The following is an 18,357-nucleotide window of genomic DNA, read 5'->3' on the forward strand; positions in this document are numbered from 1 at the left end:
ATCAGATATCTGAATCTGAACAAAAAGCAAAACGCTTGTGTTTAAATCTTCATTCCTTACCGGGTCTGTCCCCTTGAACACATGCCTTCACTTGAGGCCCATTTTACCATCTATAGAACAGGTATTTTTACCCTCATGGTGTTGTTATGAGGATTAAATAAAGTGAGACATATTTTTAAATACCTTGGCAATGTGAAGTGTGAAGTAGGCTTTTAATGAATTACCGCTGTTAGGATCGCTACTAATATTGCATCAAATAGTCAATAGCAAGCAGAGTAGTCTTTCCTCATGAATGTCTAATATGTGAAAACTTGAATTCTATTATGTGTATTGTATCTCATTTAAAGTTTAAAGCCTTTAATAGACAGTAGAATAACAGATTTCAAAACAATGAGTTCTCCACAACCCTTGGACCATGACCCCTGGACGGCAGCAGAAAGAGAATGATACAAATTGTGGGAATGGAGAACCTAAGACCAGCTTGCTCTAGCCCAGCAGAGAACATGTCAAGGGTAAGTTCCAAACAGATAAAGTGTCTGCTTCAGAAATTACACCTATGTGCCTGGAACAGAACTGCCTGGAAGTAAATGTTTCATTTCCCTAACTTACCCCTTAAAATTAGGTACTCAATCACTTGGCAATTGTAGAATTTTTGTTCCTTTGTACAGAATAACAACTATATATATATATACACACTCACACATACATATATGTATTTATATACACCTTATATCTAAAACTGCAGTGTCCAATATGTTAACCTCTAGCCACAGACACCCAGGGAGCTTTGAAATATAGTGAACCCAAACAGAGATGCGTGGTAAGTGTAAAAATCACACCCAATTTTTAAGACTTATTAGGAAAAAATGATATGAAACATCTCCTTAATATCTTTCATATTGATTATGTGTTAGAATGATAACACATTGTGTGGAATGAATACATTATTAAAATTAATTGAAGCTGGGTTTTTTTTTTTACCTGTTTTAAAGTGCTACTAAACAACTTAAAATTGTGTGCATTTCAAATTATATTTCAACTGGGCAGCATTGTTCAATTGAGGATAGGTCACGTCTCAATAATTTGAAATAACTTGCTCCTGTATTTCCACTGCATTAAGTTTAGTAGATTGAGGATGTGGGTGGGAGAAAAGGAGGAAGGATGTTCTGAAGTGGCTCCCAGGTCAGTCTCTCCTCCCATCCCACTAACATTCTGGGCAGAAAATGCTTTGTTCCCCCAAAGATTATTTTATTATAGGATTGTTCCCCAAAGGATTATATTATTTGGGGAAGATAATATATATTCTCCAAAAATGTCCATCAGAAAGAAGAAATTGCTCTACATTTGGGTTTTTAGGTACCTAGAAAAATTTCTCCATTGTTTAGTACAAAGCAAAAAAAAAAATTGTTTAAGCAAACTTTTTAGATATTTTGCTCATATTTGAATCTAGTTTGACTGTCCCAAAGAAGCTCTTTTGCTTATTGCAAAACAGCAAAAAGTGTGGTCAGTAGTCTCTTAAAGCTATGACAAATTTCCCAAAGCTAAAGAGGCATCTTAACTACAATTACTAAAATGGAAAATTTCTTTCAGAAAATAATTTTGGTGGTATAAGTAGAAATAAGGAATTCTCAAGTTTTTTAAATGATTGCTTTCATTATTCATGTATTGCTCAAAATTAGAAGGAGTAAAGAAGAATTCTTAAGAAATAAGATTCTGAAAACATTCATTTTCCTTAGAAATTATCAAGGGGATAATATTTGAGCTGAATTACTAAAGTAAGTACTATTGACTAGATACCTTTTAAAAATTTTCTGATTTTGTAAAATTCAAAACAAATCCAAACTAAAAAATGCAAATTGACAAAGTGATTGGTAAATTCCAAGTAGTCTATTTTTAATTTATAATATTTTTAAGATTTATTTCATTCACAATATTGCCGTTAGTGCTGTATTTATCAGGTATTTTCAATATGAATGTGTAAATAAATTAATGAAATAAATGTAAGTAGACATTTAACTATTTCATCTTCATTCCTAAAAGTTTATATTCTCAAGGTGACAAAAATCTTGCACTTCTATCTTTTCATTTGGGAAAAAAGAGGGTATTTGGAGTCACTAACTTACCAAGTGTTTAGAGAGGAGTGGGAGTGGGGAGAGCCAGAGGTAGAGAGAGATTTTAAGAAATTGGATGGCATGATTCTGGGCCCTGAAGCATGTAAATTCTGCAGGGCAACCTGGTAGGCAAGCTGGAGACCCAGGGAAGAGTTGATGTTGCAGTGTGGAGTCTGAAGACAGTCTAGAGGCAGAATTCTCTCTCTTTTTCAGGTGACTCATCTGCTTTCTCGTAAAGCCTTCAACTGACTGGGTGAAAATCACCCACATTATAGAAGGTAATCTGCTTTACTCAGACTACTGATAAAATGCTAATCTCATCTAGTGGAGAACTATGTGTAGACTGAGATAGTTATATTGGCTCTCATGACCTGATGTTCTAGAGGAAAAAGCCTCATGCTTAGATGGGAGGAAGTTAAAGCAAGAAGTAGAAGAGGGAACGTCGTAAGGGGGATTCCAGATGGCTCCTTGATATGGTTTGGCTGTGTGCCCACCCAAATCTCATCTTGAATTGACGTTCCCATAATCCCCACGTGTTGTGGGAGGGACCTCGTGGGAGATAATTGAATCATGGGGACAGTTGCCACATGCTGCTGTTCTCATGATAGTGGGTGAGTTCTCATGAGATCTGGTGGTTTTATAAGTGGCTTTTGCCCCTTTTGCTTGGCACCTCTCCTTCCTGCCATCATGTGAAGGACATGTTTACTTCCCCTTCCACCATGATCATAAGTTTCCTGAGGCCTCCTCAGCCATGTGGAACAGTGAGTCAATTAAACCTCTTTCCTTTGTAAATTACCCAGTCTTGGGCAGTCCTTTATAGCATCATGAGAGCGGATTAATACAATCCTCTTTCCCTTGAGATCTGTATTAGTCAGGGTTCTCCTGAGGAAGAACCGATAGAATGTGTATATACTTACATACTTGTATACATACATGTACATCCTGTACACACACAAATATATGTATGTGTGTGTATATATAGATATGAGAGAGATTGTTTTAAGGATTTTGGCTCATGTGATTATGGAGACTGGCAGGTCTAAAATCCGCAGAGCGGGCCATCAGGCTGGAGACCCAGGGAGCTGATCCTGTAGATGAAGTTTGAAGGTTGTCTGCTGGAAGGATTCCCTCTTGCTCAGGGGAGGTCAGTCTTTTGTTCTATTCTGGCCTTCGACTGATTGAATGGACCCTCCCACATCAGAGAGAGCAATCTGCTTTACCTAGGGTTTACTTATGTAAATGTTAATATCATCCAAAAACACCCTTACAGAAGCACCCATAATAATGTTAGACCAAATATCTGGGAACCATGGCCCAGCCAAGTTGACACATAACATTAACCATTCCAGGATACCTTTGAGATTTCCTTGGGACCTTGTGTTGAGGACTTGTGATGAAAGAGGAACAAGTGTCATACATAAATATAAAGTTGCTCTTCATCCCTTTGTTTTGGCAAAACTATTGTAATGGCAATCATATTTTGAGTTATTAAGGTAGTTGTTTTCCATTCCTTTTCCAATTATGCTGTGCCCACCCCCATTATATCAATGACATATTCACAGAGAAGGCAGATACAATGTAGATCAAAGGACTCAACTTTGAGTTTCCATTTACACTTTTTTTGTGTGTCTAAAGAAAAACAATGTTCTTAACAGGTGAATTTTTTCATGTATAAAAGAATTTCATAAACTTATAAAGAAAAATAGTCTGGTTCTATATCAACAACAATCATAAAAGGCCTGAGCTGAGGGGTTTACTATGAGCTGTATGGTAGAAAGTGGTACAAGATAGAACTTCTGACCATTTTATCTGTGACCAGTTGCTCTGGTCTGAATGTTGGTGCACACCCAAAATTTATATTGAAACCTAAGTCCCGATGCAAAAGTATTAAGAGGTGAGGCCTTTAGGAGGTGATTAGGTCATGAGGGTAGAACTTTCATAAGTAGGATTCGTGTCCTCATAAACGAGGCTTGTGGGAGCCTGTTTGCCCTTTCTGCCACATGAGGACGCAGCAGAGAGTGAATCCTCACCAGACACAGAATCTGCTGGCTCCTTGATCTTAGACTTCCCAGGTTCCAGAACTGCAAGTAATAAATTTCTGTCATTTGTAAGTTACTCAAACTAAAGTGTTTTGTTACAGCTGCAGGAACAAACTAAGACACTGGGTAAGGAAGAAAAGCAAGCAAACAAACAAACAAACAAAAAACAGTGGCACAATGGAGAGTAAGTGGGGGAGTTGGAGGAAAAGAAGCCACAGAACAAACACCACCTAAAGGAGTTAAACCTCCAACTTCCCCAAGATTTGGTGAGAGAAGACGGGTGTGAAATGATAGAAATTCCAATCGAAATGTCGAAAAGTTTGAGAAGGAGTCTGAAACATCCAGGTTGTACTCCACTTCCTGCCATGTCGAACACAGCAAAGTAGAATAAAGCATATGTTAGAAGCAAATTGTGATGTGCAATAATGTTTTATTAATGGTTTCAGGTAAACCTATTCACTTTGGCCATTACATTATGGTTATACATTATTTATTTATTTACTCTTTTGTTCTTTTTTCCCAGGAAGTATTTATTATTTACCTAAACCAAGCATGGAGGAGGCATGAGTACAGAGCATGTGTGGTTGTGTGACATATCCTCTGTCCTAAAGCACCTCACTGTCACAGAACCCAAAAACATGCAGACTTGTCCCTCACTAATATGCCACATACTCCTCTTCTTGGACCCAAAGCTAGATTCCACTTGCCAACCTCCCTTCCAGTACAGCCGTATGGCTGAGCTATGGAACATGGGCAGAAATTTGCACGACTTTCTGGCCCAACAAAACTTCCCACAGGATCTTTGTTAAGAAGTAAAGGAAGCTGAAGTCACCAGATGGAAGAGATGTTGATCCTTGAATAACTACAACAAGCACAGTCCCCCTACCAAGTGACCAATGCCCAATTCTAATCTATGGGTGAGGAATAAAATTCACTGTGCTAAGTCACTGAGATGGGGGCTGTTGTTATGGAACTAACCGTATCTAATTGTGGGATAATAGGGGCTGTTAAAAAGCAGCTCCTATCAGGATAAATAGCTAATGCGTATAGGGTTTAATACCTAGGTGATGGGTTGATGGGTGTAGCAAACCACCACGGCACACATTTACCTATGTAACAAACCTGGATGTCTTGCGCATATATCCTGGAGCATAAAATAAAATAAAATAAAATAAAATAAAATAAAATAAAACAAAATAAAATAAAATTTAAAAATAGCTCCTAATCCAGCTCGGTGAGACTCAGGAGCAAACTTCAGAGGAGTATTTTATTATGGTTGGCAAGGAGCAGGAATATGTCAAAGGTGCTGGTGTAGGAGACTGTCCTTCCTCTGACTTGTGTTAGGCCAGACATTCTGAAGTAGACGTGACCATTCCTAGGTTTCTTGAAACCTTAAGCAAGGGGGTCCTCATTTATCCCAGTGCCTGGCCCACTGAATCTCAGTAAGGAAATACGTACTAAATGCAAGGCTGGAACTCCAGAGCATTTGCCTAATGAACAAAAGAACCGTACTGAGTTCTACTGAGGGCATATGCCAGGCAGGAACTCGGGGGAGGCATGAGTGTCCATATGTGGCATCAGAGAAGGAGGAGGCAGAGGTCACCGGGCTGCCTTCTGGTGGGCAAGTTGGAGGAGGGTAGGCCACTCAGAGCAGATGCAAGGAAGTAAAAATGAGTTTCCCCTCAACTCTACCTGCTCCAGCTCATTCCACTTGGTTCTCTAGGAATACTGAGGTCATTCTCGCCCTCCATGCCCACCCCATGCCTACAAACCCACTTGTGCTTCACATACATAAATTGCTGGATCCCGTGGCCACCAGACCTTGAAATCAGTTCTACAGTGTGTTTTCAAACGTGTGGAAGACCCAGCTATCCATCCCTTCTTATCCACAGTCCCTTGGGAATGAAAGGGCAACAATAGATTCATTTCACAAAAATCATCACATTTACATATTTTTATCATGAGCTCAACGAATGATTTTAATTAAACCGTTTTTAAAGAGGGTAGAGAGGAAGAAAGGCAAGATGGTAAATATTTAACACCTAATCAAGGGGAGAGAAGCGTGAAGCTGAAGCCCTCATTAAGCTGCACAGAGGAGGGGGGCTTTGGAAGCTGCCCGGGTTGGAGCCCCTGCCCTCCCTTATCAGGGAGGTGACACTGGGCCAGCTGTGTCACCTCTTTGGGCCTCATGTTTATCATCTAGGAAAATGGGGAGAGTGCCAACCTTCTGGGATTATTGTCAGGAGGGCCTAATGACATTAGCAATAATAATGGCCAACATTTCTGGAGTAGAAACTGTGGCCAGGCATTTTATCCATATTGTAGCATTGAATCCTTGCGTTGACACTGTAAAGGAAATGCTGTTCATTTCCTCAGTTTACTTAGGAATAAACTGAAGTTTAGGGAAATTAAATATCTTTCTCAAGGTCTCATAGATTGGCCTTTAAACTCTGGTTGTCACAACCCAGGGCACACATTTTTTGCTATTATTTTATCTTGCCTAAACTCTAGTGCCTGAATCACATATGTACACACTCCATTTCTAAAGTTCAAGCCAAAGAGCTTGTCCAAATATGCAACTTGTCCAAGAAATCCAAATATCTTCCTAATTATTTCTACTATGACTTCTAATACCATCATATATTAGTAGAGCATCTTACAAAGCATGCTTGCAAATCTTTTCCATCAGAAACACAGAGTGGCCAGAGATTAGAAGAGTTAGATCGTTCCACCAGGGGCACCTTTTACATGGAAGCAGGCTGCATGAGACCAGCTTTCCACCATCCAAGCACCTGTTTCAGAAATTGGTCAGCCCCGAGAGGGGAAGACCTGAGGGCAAGAAGAGAACCTCAGACCCCAACTCTCGGGCATCCCCTGATCCATGGTCATTTTCAGGAGGTAAGATTTCAGTCTGTCTCATTTGGAGGGTGATTGGATGCACGAAATTCAGCCAGGATGCAGGAGATGGGGGTAAATCTTAAAGCGCGGCCCTTTCAGCACTGTGCTAAGTGCTCTGTTGAGATAATTGTATGGCTGTTTCTGCAATCAGTTCTGAGAAAATTGCTCCTCCCAAATTAGCTTCCCCTTATGCAATAATTTTTAGTTGATGGCATGGAATCACAGCAAAAAAAAAAATCATATATATATATGAGCAAATACTGGACAAATCGACAGGATACATTAAAAGAAAAGGACACTTTGATGTATGTTACAAATATATCTGAATAATACTCCCACGGAAAAAGTTTCCATCCATTTTCCTCTCTCCCTTTTTTCTGCCTTTCCTTCCTCTTTCCCACCTTCCCTTTTTCTCCTTTCCTTCCTTCCCTTCCTCATCCTCTCTCTTCCTTCCTCTTTTCCTTCTTTTATTCCTTCTCTTCCTCCTCCCCACTTTTTCTTTTTATTCTCCTCTTTTCTCTTCCTCCACGTTCTCACCTGTTCTTCCTCTTACTTAATTACAATGCTGTCTGGTCTACTAACTTTCTGAATCAAGGAGACAGATTTGATCTTCCAGGCAGAGTTCTATGAAGAAAGACAGCTTTCACAAAGCTTTCCACGTAGGTAGTTATTTAGCATTACCCTCGTCATGATTATCACTGCCTTTTCCGTAGACAGCTTCGCCAATGTTCTCAACTAGTGGGGTCTCCCTTGTCCTCCTTCCTGCCACCGGTGGGAAGTGGGAATAGGCTGGCTCAGGTGAAATCTTCCTCAAACTCTCTCATTAAATCCCTTGTGACCAGGGATACAAGGTGCTTAATTGGAACCATGCAGTTAGTCCCAAGGATTGGGAAAGACTTCCTGAATATCACCTCTTGTAACAGATGGGGAACCAGAGCCCAGATGAAATGACTCACCTGTGGCCGTGCACCTAAGAGCATCAGAAAAAATCCACCCTTGATCTTCAGAGACTCAGCCCTATGTGTCTCCCATGCTGCTATGTGACTTCAGGCTACAAAATGCAACTTCCACATGAGTCAAACTCTATGTCTCTACCCGGGGTCAACCCAGCCACGGAATAGGCCCACTTCAGCGGTTCTATGAGAAATAAATGAGTGCAAGGGCAGAGTGTTGTTGTAAAAGATATTTATACTCAAATGCCTTTTGGTATAACCTGCTCTCCAGTGCCCACTCCCCCTCATCACCCTGCACATGGCTACATCACACTTGCACTTTACCTGCTGGACACCTGAACACTTCTCAGTTTGCAAACGTTGGTCTAAAGTGTGACCTTCTTGGCAGTTTACCAAGAACACCTGGGCTAACTTGTCCAGGGAGACCCTGAGAGTAACGGCACCCTCAGCCCACCCACATGGCACCTCTACTTGTATTTGCTTTGGAGCTCATTTGAATATATGGCTTCTATTTATGGTTTAAGGAGGCAGATCATGAGAGACAAGTCTCTTACTTAGCAACCTGAGAAACAATTAATTGGCTACCTCAATTGAAAGTAAGTAAAGTTTTAAATTGTACAGTATGGGCTATCTTGAATAAGAGAATACCAAAGGATAGAGAGGAGGTAGAGGCAGCTCTTCAAGGATGCTGAATTGTTGAATAACGCAGTTCTATTTGCATTATGCCCAACAATTCTGCCTACCCTGATTTATTCTCCATACATGAACTATATATTTATAAATGGGTATTTTGTCCTTACAAAAAGAAAGAGAGAGAATTTTTCCCAGAGATATTGAACAAGTCTGTAGAAAATGAAAATAACTATGTCATTTCAGATACATCATACTAAGTATACAGGTCCTCATCCTAATTTTCATAATTACTATTTTGCTGGACTTTTAACCTATAAACCAATATAAATTTGGGTTTTGGTTGTTTCTGGGTATCAGTGCTGTGGTTGGTCTTCAGGAATATCATTTTCATATCTCAATGATGTTCTCTGGGAAACTTCTCCTTGACCAGAGGACTAATTTATGACCTGATAGCAACATCTGCGTCAGATGATATTTGTCATCACCTACCATGCAAGGTATTGGTTGTTGCCTAGCAACAGGTCAAGTATACGGAGTATTTGCTGAGATAGATTAGTTGCATTGTTGCCATAACAACTACCTTAGTTAGGTAATTAAATTGATTTGACTCAGATTTGGCATTGGGATACTACATATGTTGTGTGAAATAGTGTTTGTCCTGACTCAACTACTGATTTTCACTACAGTGTTGAGATCCTCAAAAATGTGCTCTATGATTAGGGAAGGCTATTTTAGGTAAAGATGTCACTAAGTTAACTCTTCCAAAAGTTCAAGAAGTGACATCTCAACCATATATTAATCCACTGTTTTATTAATTTAACATATGTTTATTGAGCTAAAATAATATCTTTAAAAGTATGAATAATAGGAGAGTACAAGTGAGTTTCTTTGGAAGGAATAGAATACTTCTCTATCTTATTTTTTATGGTGGCTACCTGAAATTACAGATGGAAAAAAATCTTGTAGAACTGAACACCAAAAATAAATAAGTAGGTGCATGCAAAAACTTATAAAATATAATTAAGCTCTGTAGTTTATACAGTATTACACCATTGTCAAATTCCTGGCTCTGATAATTGGACTTTGGTTACATAAGATGTCATCCCTAGGGGTAACTGGATGAAGGGTATTCATAAATCTCCTTGCTATTTTTTGCAACTTCTACGTGAGTCTAAAATTATTTCCAACTAAAATGTCTGTAAAAATAGAAGAAGGAAAGAAGGAAAGAAGGGAAGAAGGAAAGAACAAGAGAAGTTAGAAAGAAAGAAAAGAAAAAAAGCAGACTGACTATGTTGATGTGTAAAGTAGATTCAGGTAATTTACCTGAATGTTTGGGGAACATTGAGAGTCTTCAGATTGCAGGAAAATTTATTGTTTGCTAGTCAATATGTTACTTCATTTGTAGTGTATCTGGCCCCTCTGTTCCCCATTCATAAACTGACTACTGCCTAACAACAAGTGTTCCTTGCCCTCAAACACTGTGACAATCAACATGGGACACCTATATTTTCAAACTCTCTGGCTTAGACCATCAAGTTCAATAAAGCAAATTAAAAAAAAAATACTATGCCATGTGTCCCTCAGGGAAACCCAGTGAGATGGGCAACGCTGGTATCCTTATTTCCATTTATCAGATGAAGAAACTGAGGCCTGGAGGGCTGGCTGAAAGAGGCAGGACATGATTCTAATCAAGGTCTTCTGAGATAGGGTCCGTTGCTCCTTCCACCATACCTGGGTTTCCCACATGTGATGTCGGGTGACTCATCGATCAGCCTCAAACAACAATGATGACACAGGGACAAGGTGCCACTTTTCACTTCTCCTCCATCTTTGCATTGTACAAACAGCCCTCATTCAGTGCTAACTTGTCTTCAATCTACCTCTTGCACTGTCAACCTCCCCTGCTGATATGGAGCAAACCTCAAACTTTTATTTGCATTGCCTTTATTCCTGCAATTACCTTCCTTTTAGGCATTCCTTTTGAAATAAATATACCTATGTAAAAACAAAGGCTTAATGAGTATAAAATAATTGTAGCCATACTATGACAAAGGCCCATACAGCAGTACCCCAAATAATAAGATATTCTAGTTGGGACTGGATGATTATGTAGCAGCATTCCAGTTGGAAAGAAGAGTATCAAAAGCACAAAGGTGTGACAAAGATAGGTGTGGGTGTGCCAGTGTGTGTGCATCCCTCCAAGGGAAATAACAGGAATGTTGTACAGGATAACAGGAAAAACATAAGAAATAGGGAGGGAGGATCTTTTCATTGTTGCACAGAGGAGCTCTAAGAATCAGACTCCAATTCCTACAGTGAGTTCAAAGCAGGAGAAGCAGTGGCAAGGATGTAGCAAAGGACTAAATGTTTTAAATATTTTAAACCGAATGTTTTCAAATGTGTGTATTCCTATTTATTTATTTATTTATTTATTTATTGACAGGGTCTTGTTCTGTTACCCAGGCTACAAGGCACTGCCTAAATCATAGCTCACTGCAACCTTGAGCTACTGGAATCAAGCAATCCTCCTGCCTCAGTTTCTTGAGTAGCTGGGACTACAGGCACATACCATCATGCCTGGCTAAGTTTTAAATTTGTTTTTGTAGAGATGGAGTCTCACTATGTTGCCCAGGCTGGTCTCAAACTCCTGGGTCTGCCTGGGCCTCCCAAATTGCAGGGATTACAGGCATGAGCCACCATGCAGACTTTGCACTCCCTTTTAAAAATGCATTGCCTCAGGGCAAAGTCTTGATTATTTCCATCTTGGTTGCTTGGTGAAGGTGAATGGCAGAAAAGGCATCAGGATAAAGGGGTGGATGAAGATGAGTGTTAGGAGAATGCAGAATTGAGACTGTGGGAGTAGACACAGGCTGGTTTTTGAAGTACCTCATTTGAAATCAAATGAATTTCGGGCTTTGTCCCAAGATTAGTGGTTTTCCAATTTCTTATGTATAAGAACCGCCAAGGAGTATGTTCACTCATGTTCACCATATCTGAAATGCAGATTTTGGGGCCCTAGCTCCAAATACTTTGATGGTTTATGACTTAGCGACCATTCTGAAATGTATGTTTTTAACTTGTCTGCTAAGCATTTTGGTGCAAAAGCCCTAGTTGTACACATAAAGAAACACAGCTATAGCAAACAGAAATCTACAGAAGAGAATAGAGGAGGGAAGTCAAAAATTTAACCTGCATCTTAGAAAGCTTGTGTCTATTTTTTTCTTAATCATAATATGAGTATTGACGTTTTTAAAAAATATAAAAAAGACACATAAGATAATACTCACCCAAAATGCCATCATTGAAACCCAAACATATAAAATTTGACATATTTACTTGCCATGAGTATCTAAGAAAAAAAAATTATTTTATAATCAGGGCCAACTTCCCCATTAGATGCAGCAGACACAGACACAGTACCTAGGGCCCATAATACTTTTAAGGGCCCATGAAAATAGTTTAATTTATTCTAAAATTTAAGAGAAAATAAACTATTAGGTTGAAGAAACGTTTTAATGCATAATACATCATACCAATGGACTCATCAGATATGTACGTTTTATGGAGGAAGGGACCCATGGGGAAAAAAGTGCTTCAGACATAACATACTTTATCTAACCATTTCCCTATTATTGAACATTTAGGTTATTTCAGAGATGTGGCTGAAATAAAAGTAGTCAATTGAATAGCCTTCAATATAAAGCACTGAATTTAGCCACGCTTATTTTTCTAGAACTGTCTATATTAGGGTACTTTGCTTTCCAATATTGTCTTTTTCTTGGTGTTGGTGCTGGTAGCACTGGTGTTATTCTGCTTGTTTCAGGTAACAGATTGACAATGTCTTGAAGATACAAAGTCTGCTCTACTAAGGCACAGGTCTGATGTCCACTTTCTGAAGTTCCATTCAGGCAGTGGGTTCAGCACACATTAAAATTTGCTTCTTTGGAGTCCAAACTCTCAAGACGTGGTTTCTGTTGGTTTCTTGTTCCTTCTACAAACAACCCACAATGCATGACTTAAGGTATTGAGATAAACCCCAAAATCTCATTGCCTTAACACAACAAAATTATCATTATTATTATTTTGGCTAATATCAAATCCACTGACAATGTTATATTCCTAGAAGCCTACCCTTCCCAAATGGTCACTCCACCTGCAGTGCCAAGTTCTCTCCATTTCTCTAGAAAAGGAGTTGGTAAACATTTACTACGAAGGGTCAGCTAGTGAATATTTTTGTCTTTGGGGCCATACGTTCTCTTGGAAACTACCCAACTCTACCACTGAAGCGTGAATGCAGCCATAGGCAATACATGAATGAATGAGCATGGCTATGTGTGGATAAAACTTTATTCATGGACATTAAAATCTGAATTTTACATAATTTTCACATGTCACCAAATATTCTATTTTAAATCTTTCTTCAACTGTTTAAAACTGTAAAAACCATTCTTAGCCTTTGGGTGATACAAAAACGAGCCGTGGATTAGATTTGTCTGGGAGCTTTGTTTGCCATCTCTTCATGCAGAGAGTGAGGAAAAAGAAAGTTGTCTTTACAGGTCAGACGTGTGGAGCAGCACCCATCATTTTTGCTCACATTCCACTGGCTGACACCAGTCCTGTAGTTATCCTAACTGCATTGAGGGCAGGCACCTAGCTGAGGATGCACTGTGTGCTCAGAGAAAAGTGGGCATGAGTCTTGATGAGTCTCTGTGCTCCATCACCAAAGACACACTGTATTAGTTCATTTTCACACTGCTGACAAAGACATAGCCGAGACTAGGCAATTTACAAAAGAAAGAGGTTTACTGGACTTACAGTTCCACGTGGCTGAGGAGGCCTCACAATCATGGTGGAAGGCAAGGAGGAGCAAGTCACATCTTTTGTGGATGGCAGCAGGCAGAGAGAGCTTGTGCAGAGAAACTCAGGTTTGTAAAACCATCAGATCTCATGAGACCCATTCACTATCACAAGAACAGCATGGGAAAGATCCACCCCCATGATTCAATCATCTCCCACAACATGTGGGAATTATGGGAGATACAAGATGAGATTTGGGTGGGGACACAGAAACAAATCATATCACACACACAGAAGTGTGTCCTTTCTGACCTAGACACAGCATTTGAGGTAGGAGAATAGGGTCTGGAGGCTGGGAACCTAGAGTCAATTCACCCTGACTTCCTAGAACTACATCAAAAGGAAAACCCCAACTTTCCATGCCCATATAACAAAAGAACAATGGCTACTCCCTTTGCAACCCCCCACTTTCTGTATGGCAGATGAGAGATGAAAAGTACCTGTGATTGGTCCCCTTCCACAACCAATCAGACTGGTCAGGGGCATAGTATTTATTTGCATAGGGCTGTAACTTTGTAACTTCATTTCAGCCTCTGATTTTTCCCCTCTTGCAACCAATCAGACATTTGCATAGGGTGTAATTTTGTAACTTCACTTCAGCTTCTGATTGGTTGTCTCCCATGAACAATCAGACTGGTCATGGGCCACTCCTTCATTTGCATGGGGTGTAACCAAATAACCAATGCAAAACCTATAGAGGGTATTTAAACCCCTCAAAAATTCTGTAGCCAGCACTCTTGAGCCACTTGCTCCAGCCTGCTGCAACTCTGACTGTGGAGTATTACTTTTGTTTCAATAAATCTATGCTTTTGTTGATTCATTCTTTTGTTGCTTTCGTGGTGCATTTTGTCCAATTCTTTGTTTAAAATGCCAAGAACCTGGACAACCACTGGTAAGACATTCACACTTTATTTCCTGAAGATGAAGCTTAAATAAGGGCAATTCCTTCATTTGACTTTCCCAGGTGCTACTAGTTAGAATGAATCTCTCTCTCTCTCTGGTTTTCTCACTGTACATTTTGTCTTGGCATTACTCTCACTTCTCCTTTTAGAGTGTGCCCCACTGCAGGGCAGTTGTATGACTTTATTCATCCTAATATCCTTCAGTAAGGTCTCCACCCAGCAAATTACACAAAGTAAGTCTCAAAATAAGATTGCTTTATAGGCCAGGAGCTGTGGCTCATACCTGTAATCCCAACACTTTGGGAGGCCAAGGCGGGCGGATCACCTAAGGTCAGAAGTTCGAGGCCAGCCTAGCCAACATGGTGAAACCCTGTCTCTACTAAAAATACAAAATTAGCCAGGTGTGCTGGCACACACCTGTAATGCCAGCCACTCGGGAGGCTGAGATAGGAGAACCCCTTGAACCTGGCAGGCAGAGTTTGCAGTGAGCCGAGATAATGCCATTGCACTCCAGCCTGGACAAAAAGAGTGAAACCCTGTCTCCAAAAAAAAAAAAAAAAAAAAAAAGATTACTTTATAAATTTATTTTTAATGACGAGGGGGGACTATTAAAGCAAGTTTTTTTGTTCGCTTGTTAGCTATCCTTTTTTTTTTTTTTTTTTTGCCTATTTTGAAAAATCATGTTCACCCATGTACAAGTCAATAGAAGAGGGTCATAGAATTGCATAATGACAAAGAAGTTTAAGATCTTGGCCCAGCTACCCAAGAAGTTCTACCCACAACCATTCTTATAAATTGATTGTGGCTGTTTCCCCTGATTATCTAGAAACTTGTTTTCAAAAATCCTAATTACATTTTCTTGATAAAATATTAAATGAGTTGCTTTGAATAATGTGCAGTTTCTCAATCTGTGATTGATTTAAGACCCAAATACAGTGTGCTGCATGAATCTGCTCCATGCTAGGAGCTGGAGCCATTATAAACAATGCCAGGAAAGACAGTAAATGTGATGACTAATTCCAAATGAAAGAAAACTAGAAGCCAGGACCAAACACAATGCTGAAAATAAAGAACTCTAAATTACAAGGTTCCATGGGATGAGCTGCTCAGCACTCTGTAATTCAAGATGCTATCGCTAGAATGCTAATCCTACCCACTTCCATGCTATTGAGTCTTCTGTCTAGGAGAAAAACAGCTTCGCTTCTATTGACTTGTTATTGATTTTTCCCTTTCAAAAAATTTTGTTTGACAGATGTGCATTCTATTAAATGTCTCCAATATGAGTTTCATTTTTTAAAAATATCTCACAGGCCATAACTGTATGTGTGGAAGGTAGTGGGAGCTATGGTAACTAGTCAGAAAATCTGGCGTTGAAGACAGAGGTTGGGGGTCGAATGAAGAAGCTGCGAGAAGCCATAGGTGTTGAGGTCAAGGTGCCAGTATCATTGACATCTCAAACATCCACCATTCACCACCCTGTTGGACAACCCCCAGCATGGCCCATCGGCTCCCAGTGACTCCCACAGAGGCCTCCCGGATACACCTCTTCCCCTAGTCCCCCACATGTCAGATTCCAAAGGGGTAGATTTTCCTTCCCACCTCTTTACTACCTCCTGACTCCTCCACCCCTCTCTGAGTGGCAGTCTTTTTGTTGCATTTGTTCTTGCTGTCCTCCATTCCAGCAATGCATTGGAACCAGAGAGATTGTTTTTTGTTTGTTTGTTTGTTTTTGTTTTTGTTTTTTTGAGACAGAGTCTCACTCCAACGCCAGGCTGGAGTGCAGTGCGCGATCTCAGCTCACTGCAACCTCTGCCTCCCTGGTTCAAGTGATTCTCCTACCTCAGCCTCCCAAGTAGCTGGGACTACAGGCAGGTGCCACCACACCCAGCTAATTTTTGTATTTTTAGTAGAGACAGGGTTTTACCATGTTGGTCAGGATGGTCTTGATCTCTTGACCTCATGATCCGACCCCCTCAGCCTCCCAAAGAGAGATGGTTTTCTAATGCAAATCTGAGCATGCCATTCCCAGGCTTTAAGTGACTCAGTGACTTCCTCTTCCTCTTTGTGTGAAGTGCTGTGACTGTACACCCCATTTTGCCCAGTACGATCCAGTCTATGCCTGCTAGCTCAGCATAATCATTAATAGCACCTGTGTTTGCTATCTCAGGTTTTTGTGTTGGAAGGATAAATATTATGATCATCCTAGTTTACATGTGATATTGTTAGTGTGGCTTACTCCTTCAGCCTCTTCCTTGCTCTGTGCCTTGTAGACACAATGGTCTTCTGCAAGTTCTTTGAAAGGTATATGCTCCCTCCTGACACAGGTGTTGCTTCGCTGTCTGTAGTGCTCTGCGCCTCCCCATCCTCCCCCCTCCAGATGCTCTCCTGACTCCCAGCAGCCTCCAGGATGACACTTCCTCAACCCCCTGACCAGGATATGTTCTCCTATTACATCATCAACTCATTGTCTTAAGTCTTAGGACTTACTACACTTGAATAGCTGTGCTAATTTTTAATATAAGTACGCAGCATCTATTATCCTTTTTTACTGGAGTGCAAGGTCAGGGAATGCATAAATGGAGAAAACCCACAGGGCTGGCACATAGATGCTCAAAAATATTTGTCAAATGGATGAATGAATGAATCAATGAGTAAATGCAGAAATGAATGAATAGATGGTTATTATAGGAAGTGAAAAAATATAGCTATAACATCTACAAATGGGTATAATTTCATGAGGACACAACTTGCCACCTTTTGGAACAATATGCACAATGTATGTGTAGAAGGAGCTCATCTGAGAAAAAGAAAAATTAGAGAGAAGCCAGGAAGAGCAGGTGGATGGCTGAGGGAAAAGAATGGCAGATAAGAGAGGAAAAACAAAGCATAACTGTGCTGTGCAAAATTGTTTTCCTTGCCTCTGTATAAAGCTGATAAAGTTTGACCAGGTTTTAGAGTACCTCTGGAAGCTGACTCACAGGTGAGAAAATAAATTTAAGAGATATCAGAGGCAGCTATGGGCACCAGAGAGTGAGAGATGCACATACTGAATCTCCCCAGCTCCCACAGTGTCCCCAAACCAGCACCGTCCAAAACCAGTCAGTCATTTTAACTCAAATGCAACTTAGAAAGATAGTTTGTAAACCAACAGAAAAGCTTCCTCTGTCATGCTGAGCAAACTGAAACTTAACCTGTACATGCTGATGATCACTCTGAACTCTATTTGGAAGGTTCCTATAGTTTGGAAAGAGGATTTAGGACAGCACAATCCAATAAACCTTTCTGGAATGAGAAATATTCTGTATTTCATTGTCCAATATGGTAACCACTAGCCATGTGTGGCCATCAAACCCTTGAAATGGGGCTGGTGCAATTAAGGAATGGAGTATTAAGGAATAGTACTACGGAATAGTACTGCATTCTACATAATTTTAATTAATTTAAATAGTGGCAACCCTATTGGACAGAACAGGTTAGAAGGTAATAAACCAGGCAAGCCTTGAAAAGAACTGGAATTAACAGAATTCTGATTGAGTGGGTCATCAGAATTATAAGGTTGATTTGAATGGTAGACAAAGAGTTTGTTGGTCAATTGAAGAAAAGAAGAAGAGAAGAGGAAGATACACACACACACACACACACAGAGTGAGTGTGAGAGAGAGAGAAAGCTGTGCTTAAGGAAGATTAACTCAGCAGCACCAGAAGGATGGGGAAGGGCCATGGAGTGGAGAGAGAGGAGTGGAAAGATAAGAAAGGAGGCCCATTATTACTTTAACGTAGTCCTTTTAACTTGATAAATCAGCCCTAACATCTGAGACCAGTTCCCTAGTAAACCCTAAGCCCCAGAAGGTCCCTTTGTCAGTGGAATGACCCATCAGCAGGCCATTAGGTCAGAGAAAGGGCGAGCCCCCATGGCAATCAGTAAGCATAAATCAGGGAACTGGCCGTGAAGCTGAAAGGTTAA

The 18,357-nt window shown here is 40.2% G+C and overlaps 1 long non-coding RNA gene across 1 annotated transcript; it reads left to right on the plus strand.

The window, feature by feature from the left end:
• The first annotated feature begins 382 nt into the window (after positions 1-382).
• On the plus strand, positions 383-4,492 carry LOC105370657 (uncharacterized). Its single transcript, XR_944196.1, has 3 exons — positions 383-512; positions 2,325-2,389; positions 4,252-4,492. It is a non-coding gene; the product is annotated as an uncharacterized LOC105370657 (long non-coding RNA).
• Positions 4,493-18,357: the final 13,865 nt, after the last annotated feature.

This window comes from Homo sapiens, chromosome 14 (genome assembly GCF_000001405.40).
Source record: "Homo sapiens chromosome 14, GRCh38.p14 Primary Assembly".
NCBI lineage: Eukaryota > Metazoa > Chordata > Mammalia > Primates > Hominidae > Homo > Homo sapiens.